A 24,192-nucleotide genomic window follows, 5' to 3' on the forward strand; every position below is an offset into this window, starting at 1 on the left:
AATCAATAAACGTAATCCATCACATAAACAGAACCAATGACAAAAAAACACACAATTATCTCAATAGATGCAGAAAAAACCTTCGATAAAATTCAACACTCCTTCATGCTAAAAACTCTCAATAAACTAGGTATTGATGGAACGTATCTCAAAATAATAAGAGCTATTTATGACAAACCCATAGCCAATATCATACTGAATGAGCAAAAGCTAGAAGCATTCCCTTTGAAAACTGGCACAAGACAAGGATGCCCTCTCTCACCACTCCTATTCAACATAGTATTGGAAGTTCTGGTCAGAGCAATCAGGCAAGAGAAAGAAATAAAGGTCATTCAATTAGGAAAAGAGGAAGTCAAATTGTCCCTGTTTGCAGATGACAGGACTGTATATTCAGAGAACACCAAATACACAACTTCAGCAAAGTCTCAGGATACACAATAAATGTGCATTCCTATACACCAAAAATAGACAAACAGAGACCCAAATCATGAGTGAACTCCCATTCACAATTGCTACAAAGAGAATAAAATACCTAGGATTACAACTTTCAAGGGATTTGAAGGACCTTTTCAAGGAGAACTACAAACCACTGCTCAAGAAAATAAAAGAGAACACAAACAAATGGAAAAACTTTCCATGATCATGGATACGAAGAATTAATATCATGAAAATGGCCATACTACCCAAAGTAATTTATACATTCAATGCTATTCCCATCAAGCTACCATTGACTTTCTTCACAAAATTAGAAAAAAAACTACTTTAAATTTCATATGGAATCAAAAAGGAGCCCATACAGCCAAGACAATACTAAGCAAAAAGAACAAAGCTGGAGGCATCATGTTACCTGACTTCAAACTATACTACAAGACTACAGTAACCAAAACAGCATGGTACTGGTACCGAAACAGATATATAGACCAATAGAACAGAACAGAACAGAACAGAGGTCTCAGAAATAACACCACACATCTACAACAATCTGATCTTTGACAAACCTGACAAAAACAAGCAGTGGGGAAAGGATTCCCTATTCAATAAATGGTGTTTGGAAAACTGGCTAGCCATATGCAGAAAACTGAAGCTGGGCCCCTTCCTTATACCTTATACAAAAATTAACAAAAGATGGATTAAAGGCTAAACGTAAAACCTTAAACCATAAAAACCCTAGAAGAAAACCTAGGCAATACCATTCAGGACATAGGCATGGTCAAAGGCTTCATTACTAAAACACCAAAAGCAATGGCAACAAAAGCCAAAATTGACAAATGGGATCTGACTGAACTAATGAGCTTCTGCACAGCAAAAGAAACTATCATCAAGAGTGAACCAGCAACCTACAGAATGGGAGAAAAGTTTTGAAATCTATCCATCTGACAAATGGCTTATATCCAGAATCTACAAGGAACTTAAACAAATTTACAAGAAAAAAACAAATAACCCCATCAAAAAGTGGGCAAAGGATATGAACAGTCACTTCTCAAAAGAAGACATTTATGCAGCCAACAAATGTATGAAGAAAAGTTCATCATCACTGGTCATTAGAGAAATGCAAATCAAAACCACAATGAGAGACCATCTCATGCCAGTTAGAATGGCGATCATTAAAAAGTCAGGAAACAACAGATGCTGGAGAGGATGTGGAGAAATAGGTACGCTTTTACACGGTAGGTGGGAGTGTAAACTAGTTCAAACATTGCGGAAGACAGTGTGGCGATTCCTCAAGGATCCAGAACCAGCAATACCACTTGACCCAGTAATGCCATTACTGTTTATATACCCAAAGGATTATAAATCATTCTATTATAAAGACACATGCACACGTTATGTTTATTGCAGCACGATTCACAACAGCAAAGGCTTGGAACCAACCCAAATGCCCATCAATGATAGCCTGGATAAAGGAAATGTGGCAAATATACACCATGGAATACTATGCAGCCATACAAAAATGATGAGTTCACGTCCTTTGCAGGGACATGGATGAAGCTGGAAACCATCGTACTCAGCAAACTAACACAGGAACAGAAAACCAAACACCGCATGTTCTCACTCATAAGTGGCAGCTGAACAATGAGAATACATGGACACAGGGAGGAGATGATCACACACCAGGGCCTGTTGGGGGGTGTGGGGCTAGGGCATGGATAGCATTAGGAGAAATACCTAATGTAGATGATGGGTTGATGGGTGCAGCAAACCACCATGGCACGTATATACCTGTGTAACAGACCTGCACTTTCTGCACATGTATCCCAGAACGTAAAGTACGAAAAAAAAAAAAAAGATGCAATAACCTATTTAGGAGCATGAGAGAGGCTGCTAATATGAAAATCTCTATTTTCTTAGTGCTAATGTCCGAAAATGCCAAATTGTACAAACAGTTATAGTTTACTTCACCACACATATTTGCACATTAATATTTTTCTAACATTGACTTCCATAAAAATTGAAACTGTTTTTTTTTTGAGGAGTTGCACTCTTGTTGCCCAGACTGGAATGCAATGATGCGATCTCAGCTCACTGCAATCTCTGCCTCCTGGGTTCAAGCGAATTTCCTGTCTCAGCTTCCTGAGTAGCTGGGATTACAGGCATACACCACCATGCCCAGTTAATTTTGTATTATTAGTACAGATGGGGTCTCACCATGTTGGTCTGGCTGGTCTCGAACTCCTGTCCTCAGGTGATCCACCCACCTCAGCCTCCCAAAGTTCTGGGATTACAGACATGGGATGAGCCACCACGCCCAGCTAAAACATTTTTAATTATTAAAAACCATATGTATTTTTTAAAGTACATTTTACTTCATGTCATTTGTATTTATATTCACCCCAAACTGTAAGCACAGAACATCTACAGTTCTTCATGAAATATCTTTTAACTCTGTTAAAGAATGATGTTTGAGTAAGTGGGATGACGTAAAAGGCAAAGATCTTGTTTTCACTTCACTGAAAAGCTAATGCAGATAACAGAAACCCTATCCTAAAGCTAGTGGATTAAATTTCTACTGTTATTCAGCACTTACTATTCAGACAATAATGACATTTGGGGGCATCTTAATCTAAACAAGTACTTAGCATTACATCTCACCTGGGTCAACAGTCAAGGGTATCAGAGTTAAACTGTGTTACTGTAAATTAATGGAAAATGTAACTGCACTTTGCTGAAAGATAAATGTCCAATAAAGGCTGCATAATAAAAAAAAAAAAAAGACTTAAAAATGTTATAGAAGCCGGTCGGGCACGGTGGCTCATGCCTGTAATCCCAGCACTTTGGGAGGCCAAGGCAGGTGGATCACGAGGTCAGGAGATCGAGACCATCCTAACACAATGAAACCCCATCTCTACTAAACAAAATACAAAAAATTAGCCGGGCGTGGTGGCGGGTGCCTGTAGTCCCAGCACTTTGGGAGGCCAAGGCAGGTGGATCACGAGGTCAGGAAATCGAGACAATCCTAACACGATGAAACCCCGTCTCTACTAAACAAAATACAAAAAATTAGCCAGGCGTGGTGGCAGGCGCCTGTAGTCCCAACTACTCGGGAGGCTGAGGCAGGAGAGTGGCGTGAACCCAGGAGGCAGAGCTTGCAGTGAGCCGAGATCAGGCCACTGCACTCCAGCCTGGGCGACAGACCGAGACTCCGTCTCAAAAAAAAAAAAAAAAAAAAAAGTTACAGAAGCCAAGAAACTACCAATGGTCAAACCTAAAATAATCTAGGAATCAAAAACTACCAATGGTCAAACCTAAAATCATCTAGGAATCAAAAACTACCAATGGTCAAACCTAAAATAATCTAGGAATAAAATAAATACAAATAATATTGTGGTTTTAATTTACATTTCTCTAGTGGATGGAACTGGAGGCCATTATCTTTAGCAAACCAACGCAGGAAAAGAAACAAAATACTCCATGTTCTCACTTATAAGTGGAAGCTAAATAATGAGAACACATGGACAGAAAGAGAGGAACAACAGACACTGGAGCCTACTTGAGGGAGGAGGCTGAGATGAGGAAGAGGTTCAGAAGAAAAAAATGTTGAGGCTATGCTTAGTACCTGAGTGACAAAATAATGTGTACATCAAACCTCCAAATTATGAGTTTCCCTATATAAAAAACCTGCACATGTACTCCTGAATCTAAAATAAAACTTAAAATATGTAAAATACTGCTACTAATGGATTACTTCTTAAATAATAAGTATCCATAAGTCTATACTGATATAAACACATAATTGAATGAATAAACGAATGAATGAGAGAAGAGATTAGCTATTCCTTACAGAAGAGCTTCAGTTAATAAAGAAATAGGAAAATTTTTTTTTTTTTTTTGAGACACAGTCTCACTCTGTCACCCAGGCTGGGTGCAGTGGCGCAATCTCGGCTCACTGCAAGCTCCGCCTCCGGGTTCACGCCATTCTCCTGCCTCAACCTCCCGAGTAGCTGGGACTATAGGCACCCGCCACCACACCCCGCTAATTTTTTTTTTACTTTTAGTAGAGACAGGGTTTCACCGCGTTAGCCAGGATGGTCGTGATCTCCTGACCTCGTGATCCACCCACCTTGGCCTCCCAGAGTGCTGGGATTACAGGCCTGAGCCACCGCATCCAGCTGCCAGGAAATTCTTTTATAGAAAATTAATCATTACAACACCAAAGTAGTGATTGTTGTAGGCAAGATCTTTAGATGAATACTAAATTTAGCAAGTGACTTTAAATCAGCTATTATAAATCTGTCCAAAGAACTAGAGAAAATCCCATCTAAAGAATTAAAGAAATGTATGAGAATAACGTCTCATCAAGTAGTATATCAGTAAACAGATATAAAAAGAAACCAAATAGAAATTCTAAAGTTGAAAAATATAAGAACTGAAATTAAAAATAAACTGAAGAAGTTCAACAGCAGATATAAGCAGGCAGAAGAAAGAATTCGTGAACTGGAAGGTAGGACAATTGTGATTACCCAGTCTAAGGAACAGAAAGATAACAGAGTGAAGAAAAATGTACAAAACTCCAGAGACCTCTGAACACCATCAAGCATACCAAAATATACATAATGGAAGTCTGAGAAAAAGTAGAGAGTGAAAGAAGCATAAAGAATATTTGAAAAAATCATGGCTGAAAACTTCCAAAAATCGATCAACATTAATATATACATCCAAGAATCTCAATGAATTCCAAGTAAGATAAACTCAAAGAAAAGCACACCAAGACATCATAATTAAACTGTCAAAAGACAAACATAAAGAGAGAATCTTGAATGCAGAAAAAGAAAAATGACTGATTGTATATGAAAGATTCTCAGTAAGATTAACAACCGATTTCTCACCCAATACTGTGGATGACAATGGGATACCTACCATATTCAAAATACTGAAAGAAAAAACATGTGAACCAAACATTTTATATCCAGCAAAACTTACAAATGAAAGAGAAATAAAAACATGTCCAGATAAACAAGAACTGATAAAAATTTTTTACTATATCTGCCTGACAAGAAATACTAAAAAGAGACTTTTAGGCTGAAATGAAACAATACTAACTGTAATTTGAAGACCATGATAAAATAAAGAACACTGGTAAAGGTAACTGCATGAGGAAATATAAAAGATGAAAGAAGTATAATTTTTGTTTGTAGCTCTGTGTTTCATCCTACCTGATTTAAAAGACAAATGCATAAAATAATTATAAATCTGCATTGATGAGAAAATAATGCATAAATAAAATATTGGTATGATAAAATCATAGAAGATGGGGAAGAGAATGGAAATATATAGAATCAACAATTTTGTATACTATTGAAATTAAATAGAAATGAAACTGAACTAGACTATAATAATTTAATTGTAAACACCAGAGTGACCCAGAAGAAAATAACTCAGAATAAATAATAAATAAAATGACAAAGGCATTAAAAAGTTATACTAGGGGCCAGGCGTGGTGGCTAATGCTTGTAATCCCAACACTTTGGGAGGCTGAGGTGGACAGATCACTTGAGGTCAGGAGTTAGAGAACAGCCTGGCCAACATGGCAAAACCGCATCTCTACTAAAAAATACAAAAATTAGCCGGGCATGGTGGCATGCCTGCAATCCCAGCTACTCAGAAGGCTGAGGCAGGAGAATTGCTTGAACCAAGGAGGCAGAGGTAGCAGTGAGCCAAGATTGTGCCACTGTACTCCAGCCTGGGCGAAGTATACTAGAAAACATCTATTTAACACAAAAAAAGCAGTGTTGGAAGAATAGATAAAATGAAAAATAAGACATATAGAAATCCAAAGAAAAATAGCAGTAAATACCCACTTGTAAATTACCAAATTAATTGTACCTGGATTAAACACCCTAATTAGAAGGCAATATTGGTGGAATGGAATTTTTAAAAAGATACAACTATATGTGATCTACAGAAGACACAATTTAGATTAAAAGATATAAATAGGTTGGAAGTAATAGGATGGGAAATGATACTAGGCATACAGTACTCAAAAGAGAGCTGTTTTATTTTGTCTGATATTTATAACAGACAAAATAGACTTAAGACAAAAATTGTTAGTACAGATAATGAAGGGCATTGTATAATGATAAAACGGTCAATCAGGAAAATGTAGCAATTATGAAAATATATCACAGTTAACTTTAAAGCCCCCAAATATAATACGTAAAACAAAAAATGATTAAATTGAAGGGAGAAACAGACAAGTCCACAATAATAGTTGGAAATTTAAATTTAGTCACTGGTTAACTTAAGAAATTTGCAGAGCCTCAAAATATTGCCTCCAAATTATTTACTAATTGCTAGAAGTTTTAAAAATTATTTAATACTCCTCACAAGAAGTGGAGCTTAATTCTAGTCTCATTGAGTGTCAGCCAAAGTTAGTCACTGAATTTCAAATAACAGACTATGAAAAGGGAGAAAAAAAAACCTACCAAACTTTAAAGTGGAGAAACCACCTCAACAAAAGTGATCAACATTAATATCACCAATAAGTTATGCTGACATCGTACAATACCGGATATTATGCAATGAGAAAGACACATCACTTCTGTGATACTCTTATAAAAAATCTGTAACTCCCCTCTAGTCATGAGAAAACCACCAAACGACTTGAAATCAAGAGACATTATAAAAAACAACTAATGAATACTCCTTAATAGTGCCAAGGTCATAAAAGACTTTCAAGCTTAAAAAGCTGTCACTGATTGGAGGAGACTAAGGCAACATGAAGAATAAATGAAATGTAGTACTGACTCAAGTCTTGAATCCAAAACATAAAAGGACATTAGTGCAAAAACTGGGAAAAGGTGAATAAGAACAATGTTGAAGTACTTACATTATCAGATTCTAAAATATAGTATGAAGCTACATTAGTCAAGACAGAATGCCATTATCATAAGCATAGAAAGATAGAGCATTAAAACAGAAAAGAGTACAGAAATAAAAACACATATATGGTTCATTGATTTTTGTAAAAAGCACTAATATAATTCAGTGATTAAATGAAAGATTTTTCAAATGGTCCTGGAATAACTAAATATCTCTATTGAAAAACAAACTATGTTGTTATCCATGTATCTATTGACTGATCTACCTATTTATCTGGACACATACCTGACACCATAAACAAAAATTAACTGAAAGTGGATCAAAACATAAACGTGAAAGTTAAAGCCATAATGTTCCTATAACACAAATAGAAGATTATCTTTGCACCTTTGGATTATGAAACAAATCTTAAAATGCCAAAAAAAACCACACTGGACTTGATCACATTTAAAACATTTGCTCATTGAATTACATGATTACAAAAATAAATAGGCAACACACAGACAAGGAGAAAACATTTACTGTCTCTTTCTCTCTATATATATAATCTTTATGTATGTATGTACATATACATATACATATATCTGACAAAGAATGTGATGTCAACAAAATGAAAGAGTAGGCAGCTCTAGGCTCTCATCCCTCATAGAAACATAGAATAAGTGGATACTTTTGGAACCAGTTTTTTCAGAATTCTGAAAATCTGTCAAAATTTACAATAACCAAATGAACTCTGAAGAAAGAAAAAAAACCTCTTCAAAACAGTAGGAAGTAATGTGATGATTTTACTTACTCTTTTCCCACCCTCTTCCTGGCACAATAGTAGTCTTGGTTCAGAAGCAAGGACAGCTTGCATTCCCAGTGTGGCACCCTTTCCCTGGTTCCAAAGTAAGAAGAGTAGAATTATTTCATATGGTTTTTCTAACTTGTCTGGGCACTACGTGGATGACTGACACAAGGCTTTCATCTTTGTTTTACCTAAGTCAAACTCAGGCCAGAAAAAGAACAAGCATTGCTTAAAAACACTGAAAGTCATACAATCCTCACATGTCTGAAGCAAATGACTGTAATAGAAACAAACAGTAGATTGCTAAGGCAAAAATCTGGGAAGAGCTTTTTTACTTCCTACAGTATTAAGCTGACAAATTTATGAAGAATAATTATGATTCTCTATTATTGGATGCACATTGTATAAGTTATAATTTGTGACAACATAAAGGGTGGAAAATGGAGCTGTATAGGAGCAGAGATTTTGTATGTTATTGAAGTTATGTGGGCATCAAATCAACTAAATTATTATAAATTTAGGATGTCACATATAGTCCCCATATTAAACAAAATGTCTAAAAATCTATATACAAAAATATAAGAAGAAAATCAGTTCATAACAAAAAAGCAACTATCAACATTAAAGAAAGCATTAAGGGAGGAAAAGAGGGACAAAAAATTTCTAAGATATACTTAAACAGCAAAATGGCAAAGGTAAATCTTTCCTTATCAGTCATTACTTTAAATATAAATGGAATTAACTCTTCAATCAAAAGACATTGCTTGGCAGAATGCATTAAAATGTGATCCAACTATGTGCTGTCTACAAGGGATTCACTTTAGATATAAAAGACACAAATAGGTTGAAGCAAAAAAAAAGGAAAAAGATTTTCCTTGCAAATCTACAGCCACTGTAACAATATCAGACAAAGTAGGCATTAAATCAAAAAAAGCAAAAAAAAAGACAAGAAATGTCAATACTTATTAGTAAATGGATAATTCATCAAGGAGATATCAAAATTATAAAAATAAATATACTAACAACAGATACCCAAGATATATGAAGCACGGTTTCACAGAATTGAAGTGAGCAATAGACAGTCACACAATAACAGTTGGAGATTTCAATTGAAAACATTCAAAAATGGATAGAGCATGTAGGAATAAGGTCAATAGAAAATAGAGGATTTGAACAACACTACAAACAAACTAGACTTGACAGACTTATAACACCTCACCCAACAACAGGAGAATACATAATCTTTTCAAGTGCACATAGAACATTCTCTAGGATAGTACACGTTAGGCTACTAAACAATTCTCAACAAATTTTGAAAGATTAAAATAATACAAAGTGTTTTTTCTAATTACAATGGAATGATGCCGTAAATAAATGACAGAAGAAAAACTGAAAAGTCAGTGTGTTATATATTCAAGATACTGTGTCTTTTGCTCTATGTAATTATATCTCAATAAAATTATATATATATATATATAATTTGCTATGTTGGTACTATGAAATCATCAACTTAGAAACCCTCTTGCTTGTGTAACATAATGAAGATTAATATCAACTTCTATGAAATGAGCTCTCTCTCTGTCACCTGAATTAACAGTATATATGTACCCCTGTGACCCTTTAAATAACATTTATCACATTCTTTTTACGTTGTTATACAGGGTTTTATACCCATCTTTTGCCTCTGCTATTGCTTTAAAGGCAACTTTTTGTCTCTGCTATTGATTTGAAGGCCATAAAAGAACATATAAAAGACCATGTGTTATTCATCTTGGTTTCCCAGCATGGCACCCAGAAAAACATCTTGCACATTTTGTCAGAGGATCCTGGGTTATTATTTCATAAATAAATGAATGATTAAATAAACAAGTACTAATCAAAGTAATCATACCAGAAACCCTGATTTATGAGAAGCGCTAATGTCACTTCCTTTTGCAGTTATCTAGATGTCTTTAAAAATGAACCTAAATCTTTTATGGTATGAACAGTCAACAAGAGAATGAAGGATGCATGTGGAAAATTTGTGAAGGAGAGAAAACATGGATTCTTTACATTTTCAAAAGTCCTGAATATAGGTCATACAGTTAAAAGTAAAACCAGGGCTAAGCATAGTTGCTCACACCTGTAATACCAACACTTTGGGAGGCTGAGGCAGGTGGATTGCCTTGAGCTCGAGTTCGAGACCAGCCAGGGCAACATGGCGAAACCTCATCTTTATAAAATATCAAAAATTAGCTGGGCATGGTAGCTTGTGCCTGTACTCCCAGCTACTCAAGAGGCTGAGGTGGGAGGATTGCTTGATCTTGGGAGGTCGAGGCTGCCGTGAGCCATGATCGCCCACTGCACTTCAACCTGGATGACAGAGCAGGACACTGTTTAAAAAAAAAAAAAGAAATCCATACTTAGAATTAATTAGTTCAGTGAAATAGCCAATTTACAGATAGCAAACTTTTTTCTATCTTTAAAGAAAATATTTTGTCCAAACAATAGACAATGTAGACATTTCACACTTCATTCACTTTTTTGAGCCTATTTAGATACAGACTAAAATGGAGAAAAAGTATGATCACTGTACACCTATACTTACTTATCTAGCCCTTATTCTTGTGTTTTGTTTTAAACTGACTCTTAAAATCTTGTCCGTTCCCGTACATTAACTCTCTGATTTTTGCAGATAACTCATAATCCTGGAGGCCTTTGATTACTACATAGTCAGTTTCCTTACAAAATTAATCAGCTACAATGTTAACTCTCCCTCACAATGCACCTTAATATGCATTTCTAAAATTATTAACTAAAAATTTCTGTCTGACTTACTCCTGTAATCTTCTAGCCAGCATTCTTTGCTCTAGTCTCTGACATTTTTGCCATATCATTTCAGAATATACAGTGGAATTCTGAAGCTATGTAGGCTTGAATGTTCATTTTGACTTCATCTATCTCACTTTCATATCCTCAATCTATAGGAGTCAGAACTAGGGTCAAATCTTGCTCTGAGTGGCACATTGTGGGATATCCCCAAATTCCTATGAGACAATATAAAGCCTAAGGGCCAGGGATGTAAGAATGGTGATGGCTGTCTTCCTTACTCCTTTAGGATGTATGCTCTAAAGCAGTAGTGATTTTGTCTAGATAGTTCACTGTTCTATCTCCCAGCCCCAACCATCATCAATGGGAACAATATAATGCATGGTTCAGGACTTAGGGCCTAGTGGGAGAACAGGAACTAGGAAGCAATAATATTTATGTATGTTGTTGTTATCATTGTCTAAGAAAGGAAGATTTTTGTTTGATCTGCTATGTCCCAAACACTTGAAACAATGGCAGGATTAGAGCTAGCCTCCCTCTGAGTGTCAGAATGTGGAATAACACCAAAATCATCGTAAGACAACATAGGGCCTATGTCTGGCCTAAACATCAGGGGTGGGTGGCGGGTATATGCCTCCCATTAACAAGAAAGCAAGCTCTGTGAGAACTGAGATTTTTGTCATTTTAATTGAAACCTCAGGGCCTCAGTTAGGGCCACGCCTCTCTGCGTATCAGGAGTGGTAAAAGTGCCTGAAACAGTAACTAGCATTCTAAGGTCAGTCCTATTGGTTGTGTTGTTGCAATCTGTTTTTCCACTGGAGAAACACAGATCCTTACAACAAAACATAAAATAAACTCCACATGGTTTAAAGTTCATCATTCATGGGGAAATTTAAAAAAAAAAAAAACATAAAAATCAATACTATTATCAGTTATGGTGATAATATGTAGTAAAAACATAAAACATGGGCAAGAATCATACCAAATTAATTACAGTGTCTGCCTATTCAAAGAATGGAAGTGGGATGGTACTGGGAAAGATATTTATTATCTGTAATTTTCTGACTGTTTAATAATATATATCTCTATCTATATCAAATAGGCCAAAATGTTGACACTTATTAATTTTGGGTGGAGGTGAGAAAATGTTTGTCATATCTTTCATACTTTCCTATATTTTGATTTAATTTTGATAAATAAAATACAAAGATAATTGAAAATACCATTATAGCTAATTATTTTATTACAATGTTTTCAGAATTAGATCTAGGTGACATAAAATACACAAAAGCATAAAGCCATCTGAATAGTACAGTCAACAAGCAACAACCAGTACAATCAGCAATAATAGAGAACTTTTAACTTTGTATGTCACAGAGAATGTATATACCTTTTTAATAAAAAGCCTGAATAAACCAATAACTATTAAAGAAATCACAAAGCTGATTAAAAATCTACTATTAAAAGTGTCATCAGGATTAGATTGTTTTACACTTTGTCCTAGCTAACTTTTAACAAACAAATAATTCTAATGCTATTTAAATTATTCCAGACCACAGGAAAAAAATTGAAAACTCACATATTCATATTTTTTTAAAGCTAGCACAACTTCAATAACAAAACTTGATAAAGATAGCATCAGAAGGACAAAATACAATTTTACTTTGGAATGAAAATGCAATAATTCTAAATTAAATACTGGTAAATAAAATCCACTCATGTAGCAAATCATTATTTCACAATGACCAAGTAGTATTTGTTCCAGAAATACAAGTTTGGTTCCACATCAAATGCCTACCATTCTAATTCATTACATCAACAAATTAAAGAGAAAAAAAATCATACAATTTTATCAATAGATGCTGAAAAGGCATTTTATAAAATTCAGGAACCACTTCTAGCAATAACACTATAAAACAGGAATAGCGGAAACTCTTAAACATGTTAATGACTACCTACTAATAACCAAAAGTAAATGTCATACTAATAGGGAATACTATTCCCTATTAATATTTTGCATTCTTACTTCCATGAAAATTAAGAACAAGACAGTCACGTCTGTCATCACTCTTCAACATTGTTTTGAAAAATCCAGCTAATGTAACAGTAATCAGTATAAACATTAAGAGGAAATAAAATGATCTATATGTTCAGGTGAAATAATTTCATATCTAGAAAACCCAAAATATTATATTCTTAAAAATCTACTGTAATTTCAATGATTAAATAAGCTCATTAGACAGAAGATAAAAATACAAAAATCTATAGGTTGTCTATATTGTCAAAAATAGCTAATTACAAATGAGAAGAAAAAAACCAATTCACAATGTCAAAATATGAAATAAAACTGTAAAAATACTTAGAAATAAATTCAGTTAGCTATGATATACTTACGTGAAGAATATTCCAATAACAAGACCAAAAGATTTCAATGATGTACGAAGACTCTTGAGTGCTAAGATTTAATATTATTAAAGAGCCCTCTAAACAAAAATGCAGGATTTTAATTGTGATGTCAGCCATCATAATTAGAATTTTATTAAAATTCTGCATTTCATTTTTTCACATGAAAAAATGAATGTCTAGGACATATTATATAAAGAAAAAAAAAACTAATGAAGTGGGACTTGCTTTATCGGATTCTAAAACTTACGATGAAGCCACTATAATTAAATCATGATATTGGCTCAGAAATTTGAAAATGGGTAACATTTTAAATAAATGTCACAATCAGGTATCCAATGTGAACAAAATGTTATAGCTGGATCCCCATCTTACACCATATACAAAAATAAATTTCAGATGGATCAAACATTTAAACATTAAAAATAATAAAGTTATTAGAAGAAAATGTAGGTGAATATTTGTATGACTTTGGGTGGGGGCATCCATGTGATAAAAAAAGGAAACCAAAATCTATAAAAGAGATAAGGGTCTACCTAAAAAGTTTAAAAATTTTAAAGGAAAATATATCATCAATAAAGTCAAGATGAAAACGTCATAACACATTAGAGCTACAAATGATTAATATGCACTATGTAGTAAGAATTTCTACAAATTTATAATGAAAAACATCAATAGATACATGAGCAAAGGGTAAGAACAGGCAAATCAGAGAAAAATCCAAACAGAAACAAGGACAGCAACAACAACAAACCTCTTTGAACTCAGACAAAAGGCAATTAAACTAACAAGCAATACAATGCAATTTTTAGCCTTTCATATTTTCAAGCATTAAAGAGTGCTGGAGAGGACGCTGGAACGGGCGCTTTCATTTTGGATAGTAATCTTGTAATATTTCTGAAACATATGCCTACATAGTATTTCTGGGAATCCAACCTATATAAATAAAAGCACCAGTATGTATTACAGCAGTGTTATTTTGAAAAAAAATAAAAAAAGGAAATAAAAGACGATCAATAACGAAATGGTTGAATGCCTTTTTGGTACATCAACAAGTACTGTGTATTCAGCTGTTAGAGTAAGGGAGGGAGGGGGAGAGCAAGAGTGCAAGAGAGTAAGAGTGAGGGCCAGAGAGAGCCAGAGAGAGCAAGAAAGACTGAAGCTACTGATAAGAAGAGATATCATCTACATGTCAAGTGAGAAAAGCATGTGGCTTGCCATTTTTACAGAAACTACTAGAACATACTTTCTGCATGAAGATGGGGAAAATAGGTGGAAGGATGTACTTCGCATCCTCAACACTTGTTTTCTGGGAAGAAACAAGGTAAGGAAAGGAAGGGGTAAGGACGGGGTGTGGGTTTACACCATTAATTTTTCTTAATCTATTTTTGCATTGTTCCAATGGTTGCAAACACTTTTTAATTTTCTATTAGCACCCAATTTAACTGTTAAGTTACAGAACAAGGCAATATCAAAAGTAGCAAAGTACACTTGAGGCAAAATTGTGAAACTAGTCAAGGTAAGATTTGTTGGCACAATAAAATTTATCCACTTTCCTGAATTTCTGACACCTAAACTCTTCTCTGCGTTCACAACTACGAGAACACAAAATAATTCACATCTAACAGATCCACAACTTCTCTAAAGAGCACAAAGAATTTAAGGAGTTTTCACCAAACCATAGACATAAATGTGAATATCATCATCAAACTTAATGAAGTAAACAGATGGCTTCGCCACCACTTGATGTATAAAAATGCCAGTTCTCTTGGACCCGTCATCTTTGGCATGCTCCACCTGCTTGCCCACGAGACTGTCGACCACCTCTCCAGGCTCCTGTTCTGCTGTAGGGAAATAGTAGTTGGAATCTGGAATAATGCGTAAGTCACCATCTTTGTAGTCATCAAGCAGCGTGTACATATAGAGAACAGGATCTTTCTCGTAGGTGATGTAAAACCAAGTATCCATCACAGGAGCTCGCGCCAGGACCATACCCTTCCATTCATCCTTGGTACCATGTTCACCTTCAAACACATGCTCCACTGCCTTGCCAATCAGGGAATCTGCCAGTCGTGAATCGATACGAGGAGTTGGCACTCTCTCAGGAAGGATCTCTAGCGCTAAAACTCTCTTATCGCGGTGCAGTTCTAGTCCATACACACTATCTTTGCCATCATATTTAATGATGTAAAGAGTGGGCTTCACGGAAACCTGCTCGAGCACAGTACCCTTCCACTGCTCCACTGGCTCGTTGCCTTCCTTCCAGCCGTGTTGAATGCGGCAGCCCACGATGTTCCTACGAGTGAGGAAAGTGGGCTTGCGCCGTTGCTTCCTGTGGGTGTGCCTTTTCTTCATCAGGTATGCGGACACGCCATCTACCCCCATCGGAGGCACGGTTGGAGGAGACATAGCTCAGGGATTAAGAGGGCTTGGGGAAAGCTGCTGCCCTGGTCGATTAAACTGACAAAAAGTCAACACTATGCAATATGATATATATATTTTTTGCGATCTCAAAGACCTGGTCTGTGCTCCCTTCTCCAAGTGCAAGGCTCTCACCAAGGTTTTGGCAGAAACGCTCGAACTCTAACCGTGAGCACTGGGACAGCGTGTGCCTCTCCACAGTGCTTTCCTCTCTCGCCCTAGAAGGGTTACTGCAGCAGTGGCGGCTGACGTAGAGATGGCGGGCTCGCGAGTGCTGTTCGTGCCTTGCGTCCGCCCCAACCCCGACCCCAAGTCCCCGAATCGGCCACTTAGCTGTTGTCGATGCTGGTGCGGCTGCGGCACGGCGGCAGAGGAGACGACGGGGACGAAAGGCAAGGAGTAAGAGGGATGGCTGCAGCGGCAAAGGCGCAGGCGGCGGCAAGTCTCTGGGGAGTCCGCGCGGCCTGGGCTTCGCAGCGCTAGCTGGCTTGGCTTCACTCTGGCGACCGGGTCTTTGCGGCGCAGGGAACCCGCCCCCTCTGAGCCCGCCTGAGCCTTGGCCCCGCCCCCAGCCATCCCGCCTTCCGCTCTGCGGGCGGCAGCCGGGCTGGTCAGCGCGCGTGCCCGTGTTCAGTTTGTATTGACACACGCGCCCTCTCTTTCATTTCCTCCTCCGCCCCTCGACCGTTTCCCTCAAACGCCAGCCAGACAGGCCGACTCCCCTCCTCCTCCTTTCTGGCGGTCTGCTGCCCGCCAGCCTCCTACACAGTGGCTCCATCTGCTTTCTGTCTTCCAGGAATTCCTCACTTAAAAAAAAAAAAAATGTAAAACACACGCACACCCAGAAAGAGTTTGTGCATACAAATTATTTTCTTTCAGTTTAAGATATTTAAGATGAGAATAAAAACCCTGTGTACAATTTACAGACCACCATCTTAATCCAAAATCTGTTTTATATTTTCTACCTGATCATTTCTAGTAATTATTTTTATTTTTTTTTTTTTTGTCAGAATGTAAAGGTCATGTACTGACATTGTGGAGATCTTCTAAAATTCAGTGAAATAAAAGACGAAACTACCATTAATTTTACCATCCAGACTGCACCAAAATGTTAACAATACTGTTTTCTCTCCTATTAATAAACCTGTACTTATATTTTATAAAATTGGGAGCATATTTCATACTTTTATAACTTGTGTTTTTCATGTATATCATGAACATTTTCCAAGATTGTTAAATACTCTGAAAACATGATTTTTAATAGTAATATTAAATATTTGTAATATTCCTTTTGATAGTCCACTATTTATCCTACATGATCTATAACATAAGTATAAATAAAAACATTTTACCTTCATAAATGGATTTATTGTCTAAACCATTTTTTAAAAGAAGATTTAATGACATGGAGAGCTGCACATGAGATGAGTACAATGAAAAAGCAAAATATTGAAACAATATTGTGGTCTTAATTTTGTAGAGAGAGAAAGAAGGGATTTTTTGTGTATATATTTGCTGTTTTTCTGATTATAAAAGTGCTGCATGCTTATATCGAAAACCTGCAAGAAAAGAAAGTGTCCATAATTTCACTTACCTTAAGTCACAGAGCTGCTATGAGGATTAAATGAGAATGTCTGTAAAGCTTTTAACACTATATCCCACTTACAAGATGACATTAAAATCCAGAAGAGTCTAGGGTTCTCATTTTCATTCCTCTACTCTTCACTGGTGAAAAGAGAAAGCGTCATATAATCATGAGTAAAAAAGGCAATTAATTCACCTGGAAACAAAACCGGGGCAAAAGCTGCAAGGTGTCAATACTGGTTGCCTGAACATTTCATTACCTTCCAAGTCAGTGACAGAGAGACCTAGTCCTCATTCTGTTTAATAGCTGGTCACACAGAATGTGTAAGGATCCTCCAGTTCACCATGTTTCCCAGGCAAAGGACTTCAGAGATGGGATAATTCTTTAATGCCATATTACAAGATAGTAATTCCAAGGAAGAAGGTAAACTACATGTATGAACAGTTATTTCCAAACACTTAGAATGACATCGTGGTGTATATATATTCACACATATACACAACCTACACATTCATACTCAAAGTCAGAAGGTGAACGTATGTAAATGTTATGCCATTATGTTCCACAAATAATGTCTTCCAAATAATTCCCCAGACCAAGATACACCAAGCACTTTTTGCTCAGAAGAGCAGTTGACACATGAAAGAAGAAGATGACCCACAGGGCACACAAATGCAGGGAAAACAGTTTCCTCAGGCCTTTGGTTACATCCTTCAAGGGAATTCTTGCTTACAACCCCACAAAGTGGCCTGAAGAGACAAAAAAAAATTCGAATACCCTTTCTTCTCCAAAATTATGATTCTAATATTCAGACCATTCACTAACATATAGATTTAAAAGGCCTTATCATGCTGATATAATGTTCACTTTGTATGACTCCCACTGGACAATAAACTTATTCAAGAAGGGATTTTTATCTTGCATCCCAAATACCCTACACAGAATAGAGACTCAATAAACATTTGTTAAATGAATAAATAATTGCTTTCAGCTGCCCTGCCCCAATGCAAAGACATCTTCCACAGTGAAACAAGTAGCCTTACACAAGCTTTTGACGACTACAGTTCTGGCAACTCAGGCTCTCCCTCAGCAATTTTATCCTTTTAAAACACCTAAATCACTGACCCTGTGAATACATGTGCCCATAAGTCTGAAAATGCTTAGGAGAAAACATTAAAGCAAGTGGGGCGGGGGCAAGCTTTCATCAACCTACATGTGTGGATAACAATAAAACTTACCTCAAAGTGTAAGTGTGAGGATTAAATTAGATAAATACACACAAATCTCTCAGCACATGAACTGGTACATAGTAAGTACTCAGTTGTCTCCTAACTAGTCATCTCCTGAAAGAAGTTATTTTGTCTTATTACATCTTTTTACAAACCACCCAGCTCATACCCCACCTCTAAACCTTTCCTCTGTTTTACACTCAAGACCTCTTGGCCAGGGCTTGTGAATCAAGGAGGGCTATGGCATGATTTGTTCCTTATATCCAATTTCAGAGCAATATTTCAAATACTGGAAGCTTCTGGAAGATTGACTTCTTAATAAATAAACATTAGTGAAAATTAATTTGGAATACTCAGTGTTAATTTATAATTGGAGGGGTGGTGGAGGGAGGTATAACTATTGTTAATTCCAGTGTGCACAAAAGATTATAATGCATGCTATAAAAGAGGTACAACTGAAGCACTAGGGGACCCAAAGGAGGTAGTGATTTTTTATGGCTGGGGAGATCAGCAAAGACTACTTGAATGTCTAAAATAACAACAAAAGAAGATATTCAGAGGGTGGCAGTGTAGTGAGGTATTTTCAAAGAGCTCAAGGAACGACATAGAGGGTGAATGGTTACAGGATATGTGACAAACTAGTCAGGAGTTTGTGACAAGAGCACAGAGTTCGTTGTGATAAGGAAAAGGGGGTATAGTTTGTGGTGTGGAACAAAGTTAGTCAAAAACCTCAAAGTTGAGAACTGATATTTCATCCACTGTTGGTGGAAGTAGCTGACATTCCAGTTCCCCTAACAATGTAGTGTTGGTGTTACCAAGCAGAGAGCTGATCTTCCATGCTTCATCTGACAGAAAACAGGCAGTGTTTTTATTCCCCTGGAAGACAAATACTGGTGATGCTGAACAAAGAGCTGATCTACTACCTCTCTGGCAGAAGCAAATGGTACTCTGATTCCCCTGCCAGGATAGTGTCAGCAAGGTCAAATGGTAAGTTGCTCCACCACATTCATCTGGTAGTGTGAGGTAGTGCTAGTAATTGTTATGATACACTCACACCCCATATAAACCTGACAGCAATGAGATTGAATACAGTAGAGCAAGTCAGGGCTAGTCAGCACTCTGGTTCCCTATACCCCTAATGTCAGTGAAAACCAGTGAGTAGCTGACCTTCCATCCTCATCCACAGTCAGTGAGACAGAACAAAGGGAAACATGATGGGACTAGATGGTACTCAACTTTCCCTAAACCTTTTGTGTCAATGGGTCCCAGAGTTCAGATAAGCCCCCACTCCCACTTTGAGGTCATAAGATGGTATGAACCTGTAACCCATTATCACCACGAAGGTGTCAGCAAATTTGGGATGGGAGCTGAACTTCTGTACTGCCCATGTTCAATGAGGCAGTGTGAGTTAGTGCTGCATTTTTTCAAAGGTTGTGTCAGGGGAACCTAACAGAAGAAGCTGAACATATATACAAAAGCAGCCCTTCAGCCACAAAACAATAGGGGGGCTCTCCAATAAAAAGTTTACAGAGAACACAGAGTCTCATGATATAAAATTAAAAAGTGACTAAGATGCAATTAAAAAAAAATCATACAAGGAACAAGGGAAATCACAACTTAAAAGAGACAAGACAATTAACAGGTGCCCAAAACAGATAAAAAATCGATGTTGGAAATATTTGAAATAGATTTTAAAGCAGCCATCATTAAAAAAAGTGATTCAATAAGCCCAGGCATTGATGAATGTCTTTAAGTATCAAGAGCATTCAGGGAAATATGACCTCACTGAACTAACTAAAGAAGGTGCCAGTAACCAACCCTAGAAAGATGGATTTGTGTGACCTCTCAGAGAATTCAAAATAGCTGTTTCAAAGAAGCTCAGTGAACTTCACTGAGAAGCAATTAAGAAATTTATAAGAGAAATATAACAAAGAGATTGAAATAATAAAAAATCAAACAAATCATAGAGGTGAAAAATATAATGGATGGAATTACAAATGCATTATGGTATTACAACAGTAGATTTGATCAAGCAGAAGAAATAATCAGTGAGCTCAAATACAAACTATTTAAAAATATACAATCAGGCCGGGTGCGGTGGCTCACACCTGTAATCCCAGCACTTTGGGAGGCCGAGGCAGGTGGATCGTGAGGTCAGGAGATTGAGACCATCCTGGCTAACACAGTGAAACCCCATCTCTACTAAAAATACAAAAAATTAGCCGGGCGTGGTGGCGGGTACCTGTAGTCCCAGCTACTTGGGAGGCTGAGGCAGGAGAATGGCATGAACCTGGGAGGCAGAGCTTGCAGTGAGCTGAGATCACACCACTGCACTCCAGTCTGGGTGACAGACCGAGACTCTGTCTCAAAAAAAAAAAAAAAAAAAAAAAAAAAAAAATATATATATATATATATATATATATTTATTTATATATACAATCAGAAGTGACAAAAGAAAAGAAGAATTAAAAGCAATGAAAAATACTTATTAAACCTATGGGATAGCCTCATAAGACCAAATGTAAGAGCCATTGGCTTTAAAGAGGGCATAGAAAAAGAGAAAGGGGTAGAAAGACTATTCAAGAAAATAATAATAATAAACATTCCAAATGTAGGAAAAGACACAAATATCCAGGTATAGGAAGATCAAAGGTCACCAAGCAGATTCAACCTACTACTGCTACTGTAAGGCATATTATAATCAGATACTTAAAAGACAGGACAAAGATAAGATTATAGAAATGGGGAAAAAAAGCAAATAACCTATAAAGGACCTCTGATACATCTAGCTGCAGGTTTCTCAACAGAAACCTTTCAGGCCAGGAGGGAGTGGGATGACATCCAAAGTGCTAAAGGAAAAAAACCTGCCAGCTAAGAATACTGTACTTAGCAAAGAATCCCTTAAAAAGGACGGAGAGATAAAGACTTTCTCACACTAACAAAAGCTGAAGAAATTCATCGCCACCTGACCTGTCCTACAAGATGTGCTGTAGTTCTTTAATCTTTAAAAAGGACATTGATACACAACAACAACAATAAAAAACATTTGAAGGTTAAAAAAAATCATTTGTAAATGTAAGTACACAGACAAATTCAGCATACTCTAATGCTGTAATTGTAGTGTATAAACCACTCATACCTGTAGAATGAAGAAAAAAGACAAATCTATTAAAAATAATAACAACTACAACAATTTGGTTAAAAAATAGGCAAAATTAGAAGATGTAAGGTGAGATGACAAAAAGTAAAAATGAGGGGTGGATGGATTTAAAGTTTAGAGTTTTTTAGTTTATTTTTCCTTATTTTCTTTGTGATCAAAATTAAGTTGTCATCAGTTTAAAATAATTTGTGATAAGATTTTTTGTAAGCCTAATGGTAACCACAAAGCAAAAACCTGTAGTAGATACACAAAAAATAGAAAGCCAGGAATTAAAACGTGCTACCAAAGCAAGTCAACCACAAAGGAGGACAACAAGAAAGGAAGCGAGGAATTACAAAACAACCAGAAAACAAGTAACAAAATGGAAGTAGTGAGTCCACTAGTAGCATGGAATATAAATGGACTAAATTATCTAATTAAAAGACACAGAGTGGTTGAATAAATATTTAAAAACTTAACTATATGCTGCCTACAAGAAACTCCCTTCACCTATAATGACACACATAGACTGAAAGGGAAGGTACGGAAAAAGATATTTCATGCAGATGGAAACCAAAAATGATAGATGTTAAATCAAAACAGTAAGAAAAGATAGAGAAGGCCATTATATAATGATAAAGGGGTCAATAGAGCAGGAGGATATGAAAACTGTAAACATACATGGCCCAACAATGGAACTCCTGGATACATAAAGCAAGCATTAATGGTCCTAGGAGAGATAGAATGTGATGTGATAATATTAGGGTGCCTCAATATACACTTTCAGCAATCAACAGATTATCCAGATAGAGAATCAACAAAGAGATATTGAAGTCAAAGTGCACTCTAGACCAAATGGTCCTAACAGATTTTTTTTTTAAATTTCACCCAACAGCTGCAGAATACACATTCTTCTCAACAGCACAATAGAACATTCTCCGTGAGAAACTATATGTTAGGCCAAAAAACAAGTGTAATTTTTTTATTGAAATCATTTCAAGTATTTTTTTCTGACCATAATAGAATAAAACTATAAATAAATAACAGGAGAAACACTGAAAACCTTATAAATATATAGAATTAAACAAAATGTTTATAAACAACCAATGAGTCAATGAAGAAATGTAAACGGAAATTTGAAAATTCATTGCAAATGAAAATAGAAGCACAACACAGTGAATCATATGGGATACAACAAAAGTGGCTCTAAAATGGAAGTATATACTGTGGGGTCCAACCTGCAGACCCTGACTCAGCAACAGATGAGAGATGTACACTGACACAGATATTTTGCCTGTCAGTGTGGCTAAGGGGCTTCTGCTCCTAAAGCTGCAGCATCAGCCCAATAAGCCTCAAAGTTCGCATTTCTTTAATACAGGTTAAATGACAAAGGTCTCAAGTAAACACCACTAGAGGGTAATTAACATTGCCAACCCCCTGAGTAGAGAGCAATCATGCACCCGTGGGTAATCGAAGGTTGGTCTTAGGACCACATGAGTAAACATGCTATTTAGATAAACTCCCCCACATTCCCTTGTTATTTGCTCTTTTGCTATCAACTCAAGGTAAAGAGGATTAGGCTGCTTTCAGCCACATATTTTACTGAAGCTACGCAAATCTCCAGCCTTCCAAGAAAGTTTGCTTCTCTTTTCTATAATTTCCTCTTACAATTTTTCCCACCACCCTGACTGAACTCCTACATCTCCCCCTTTTCTGTTTTTTGCATTAGGCTTTATTAATTGAAGAGTGCAGATGTGTGCAGCAACAGGTGTGTCAGGCATGGTGGTTACTGCTCTTATTCTGGCTTTGCATCCTAGAATTAGCAAATAACATAAGACAAACATGAGTATAATCAGCAACATTCTTTTCCAATCAAGGAGTGACCCCCAGGACAGGGGTCTATCCAGGAGAGCTTATCTTGCACACCCTTCCATATGGCTGTTTGTTGGATGTGTAGATCTATGGTGTGAAGGGATTCTAAAATTTTAGTTTTAAGTTGCTTTACATCTGCTGTTAAATTGTCATGAAAGTTTCCCCAGAGGTGTTGTTTCACCTCATCTCAACTATTTGTTGATTGATTCCATGGAAGAGAAGTGACACAGATATGTTTATGCCTCTAGTTGCAGTTTAATTGCTGTAGGAATGCTAGCGCATCTTTTCGCTCCCTGACATATTCCAAGGCAGCCTTGAGGGCTTACAGACATGCTGCAAGAGAAGTTCATTCGACACATTTTTGGCCAAATTATCTACAAAAGCAGCTGGTTGTACTGATTCAGTAATAAGTGCTACAGCCACACTAGCAGTTGCTAGGATGGCTATGGCTGAGACTATAAAGGCTATAAGTATGCCTATGAATCTTTTGGGTCTGACCTGGGACAGGGCTTGTTCTAAGGTGGCAAGGGCAGAGGAACCTTGCCAATCGCGTGTCAAATTGACTGGTAGGAATGCCTCAGATTGTCTCCTCAATATCATGACACTGGTAATATTTCAATTAGATATATTG

At 36.6% G+C, this 24,192-nt stretch overlaps 1 protein-coding gene and 1 long non-coding RNA gene across 2 annotated transcripts in view, besides 4 other annotated features; one reads left to right on the forward strand and one right to left on the reverse strand.

Moving 5' to 3' along the window:
* The window catches only part of SPIN4-AS1 (SPIN4 antisense RNA 1), a 68,502-nt gene extending 51,409 nt beyond the window's left edge, over window positions 1–17,093 (forward strand). The window contains exons 2-3 of the long non-coding RNA NR_046739.1: window positions 14,545–14,639; window positions 16,747–17,093. This is a non-coding gene — a long non-coding RNA (SPIN4 antisense RNA 1). The remainder of the gene's footprint in view (window positions 1–14,544; window positions 14,640–16,746) is intronic.
* SPIN4 (spindlin family member 4) lies at window positions 12,133–16,237 on the reverse strand. Its single transcript, NM_001012968.3, has one exon. The coding sequence runs from the start codon at window positions 15,722–15,724 to the stop codon at window positions 14,975–14,977; it is 750 nt and encodes a 249-aa protein (NP_001012986.2). The 5' UTR covers window positions 15,725–16,237; the 3' UTR covers window positions 12,133–14,974.
* Window positions 15,426–15,555: an enhancer, noted in NCBI's record as "active region_29705". NCBI's record gives its function as "activates an Ori minimal core promoter by ATAC-STARR-seq in GM12878 lymphoblastoid cells {active_cell/tissue: GM12878}" and the evidence as "EXISTENCE:reporter gene assay evidence [ECO:0000049][PMID:35858748]".
* Window positions 15,656–15,705: an enhancer, noted in NCBI's record as "active region_29706". NCBI's record gives its function as "activates an Ori minimal core promoter by ATAC-STARR-seq in GM12878 lymphoblastoid cells {active_cell/tissue: GM12878}" and the evidence as "EXISTENCE:reporter gene assay evidence [ECO:0000049][PMID:35858748]".
* Window positions 15,976–16,025: an enhancer, noted in NCBI's record as "active region_29707". NCBI's record gives its function as "activates an Ori minimal core promoter by ATAC-STARR-seq in GM12878 lymphoblastoid cells {active_cell/tissue: GM12878}" and the evidence as "EXISTENCE:reporter gene assay evidence [ECO:0000049][PMID:35858748]".
* Window positions 16,226–16,455: a silencer, noted in NCBI's record as "silent region_20874". NCBI's record gives its function as "represses an Ori minimal core promoter by ATAC-STARR-seq in GM12878 lymphoblastoid cells {active_cell/tissue: GM12878}" and the evidence as "EXISTENCE:reporter gene assay evidence [ECO:0000049][PMID:35858748]".
* Window positions 17,094–24,192: the final 7,099 nt, after the last annotated feature.

Source organism: Homo sapiens, chromosome X (genome assembly GCF_000001405.40).
Source record: "Homo sapiens chromosome X, GRCh38.p14 Primary Assembly".
NCBI lineage: Eukaryota > Metazoa > Chordata > Mammalia > Primates > Hominidae > Homo > Homo sapiens.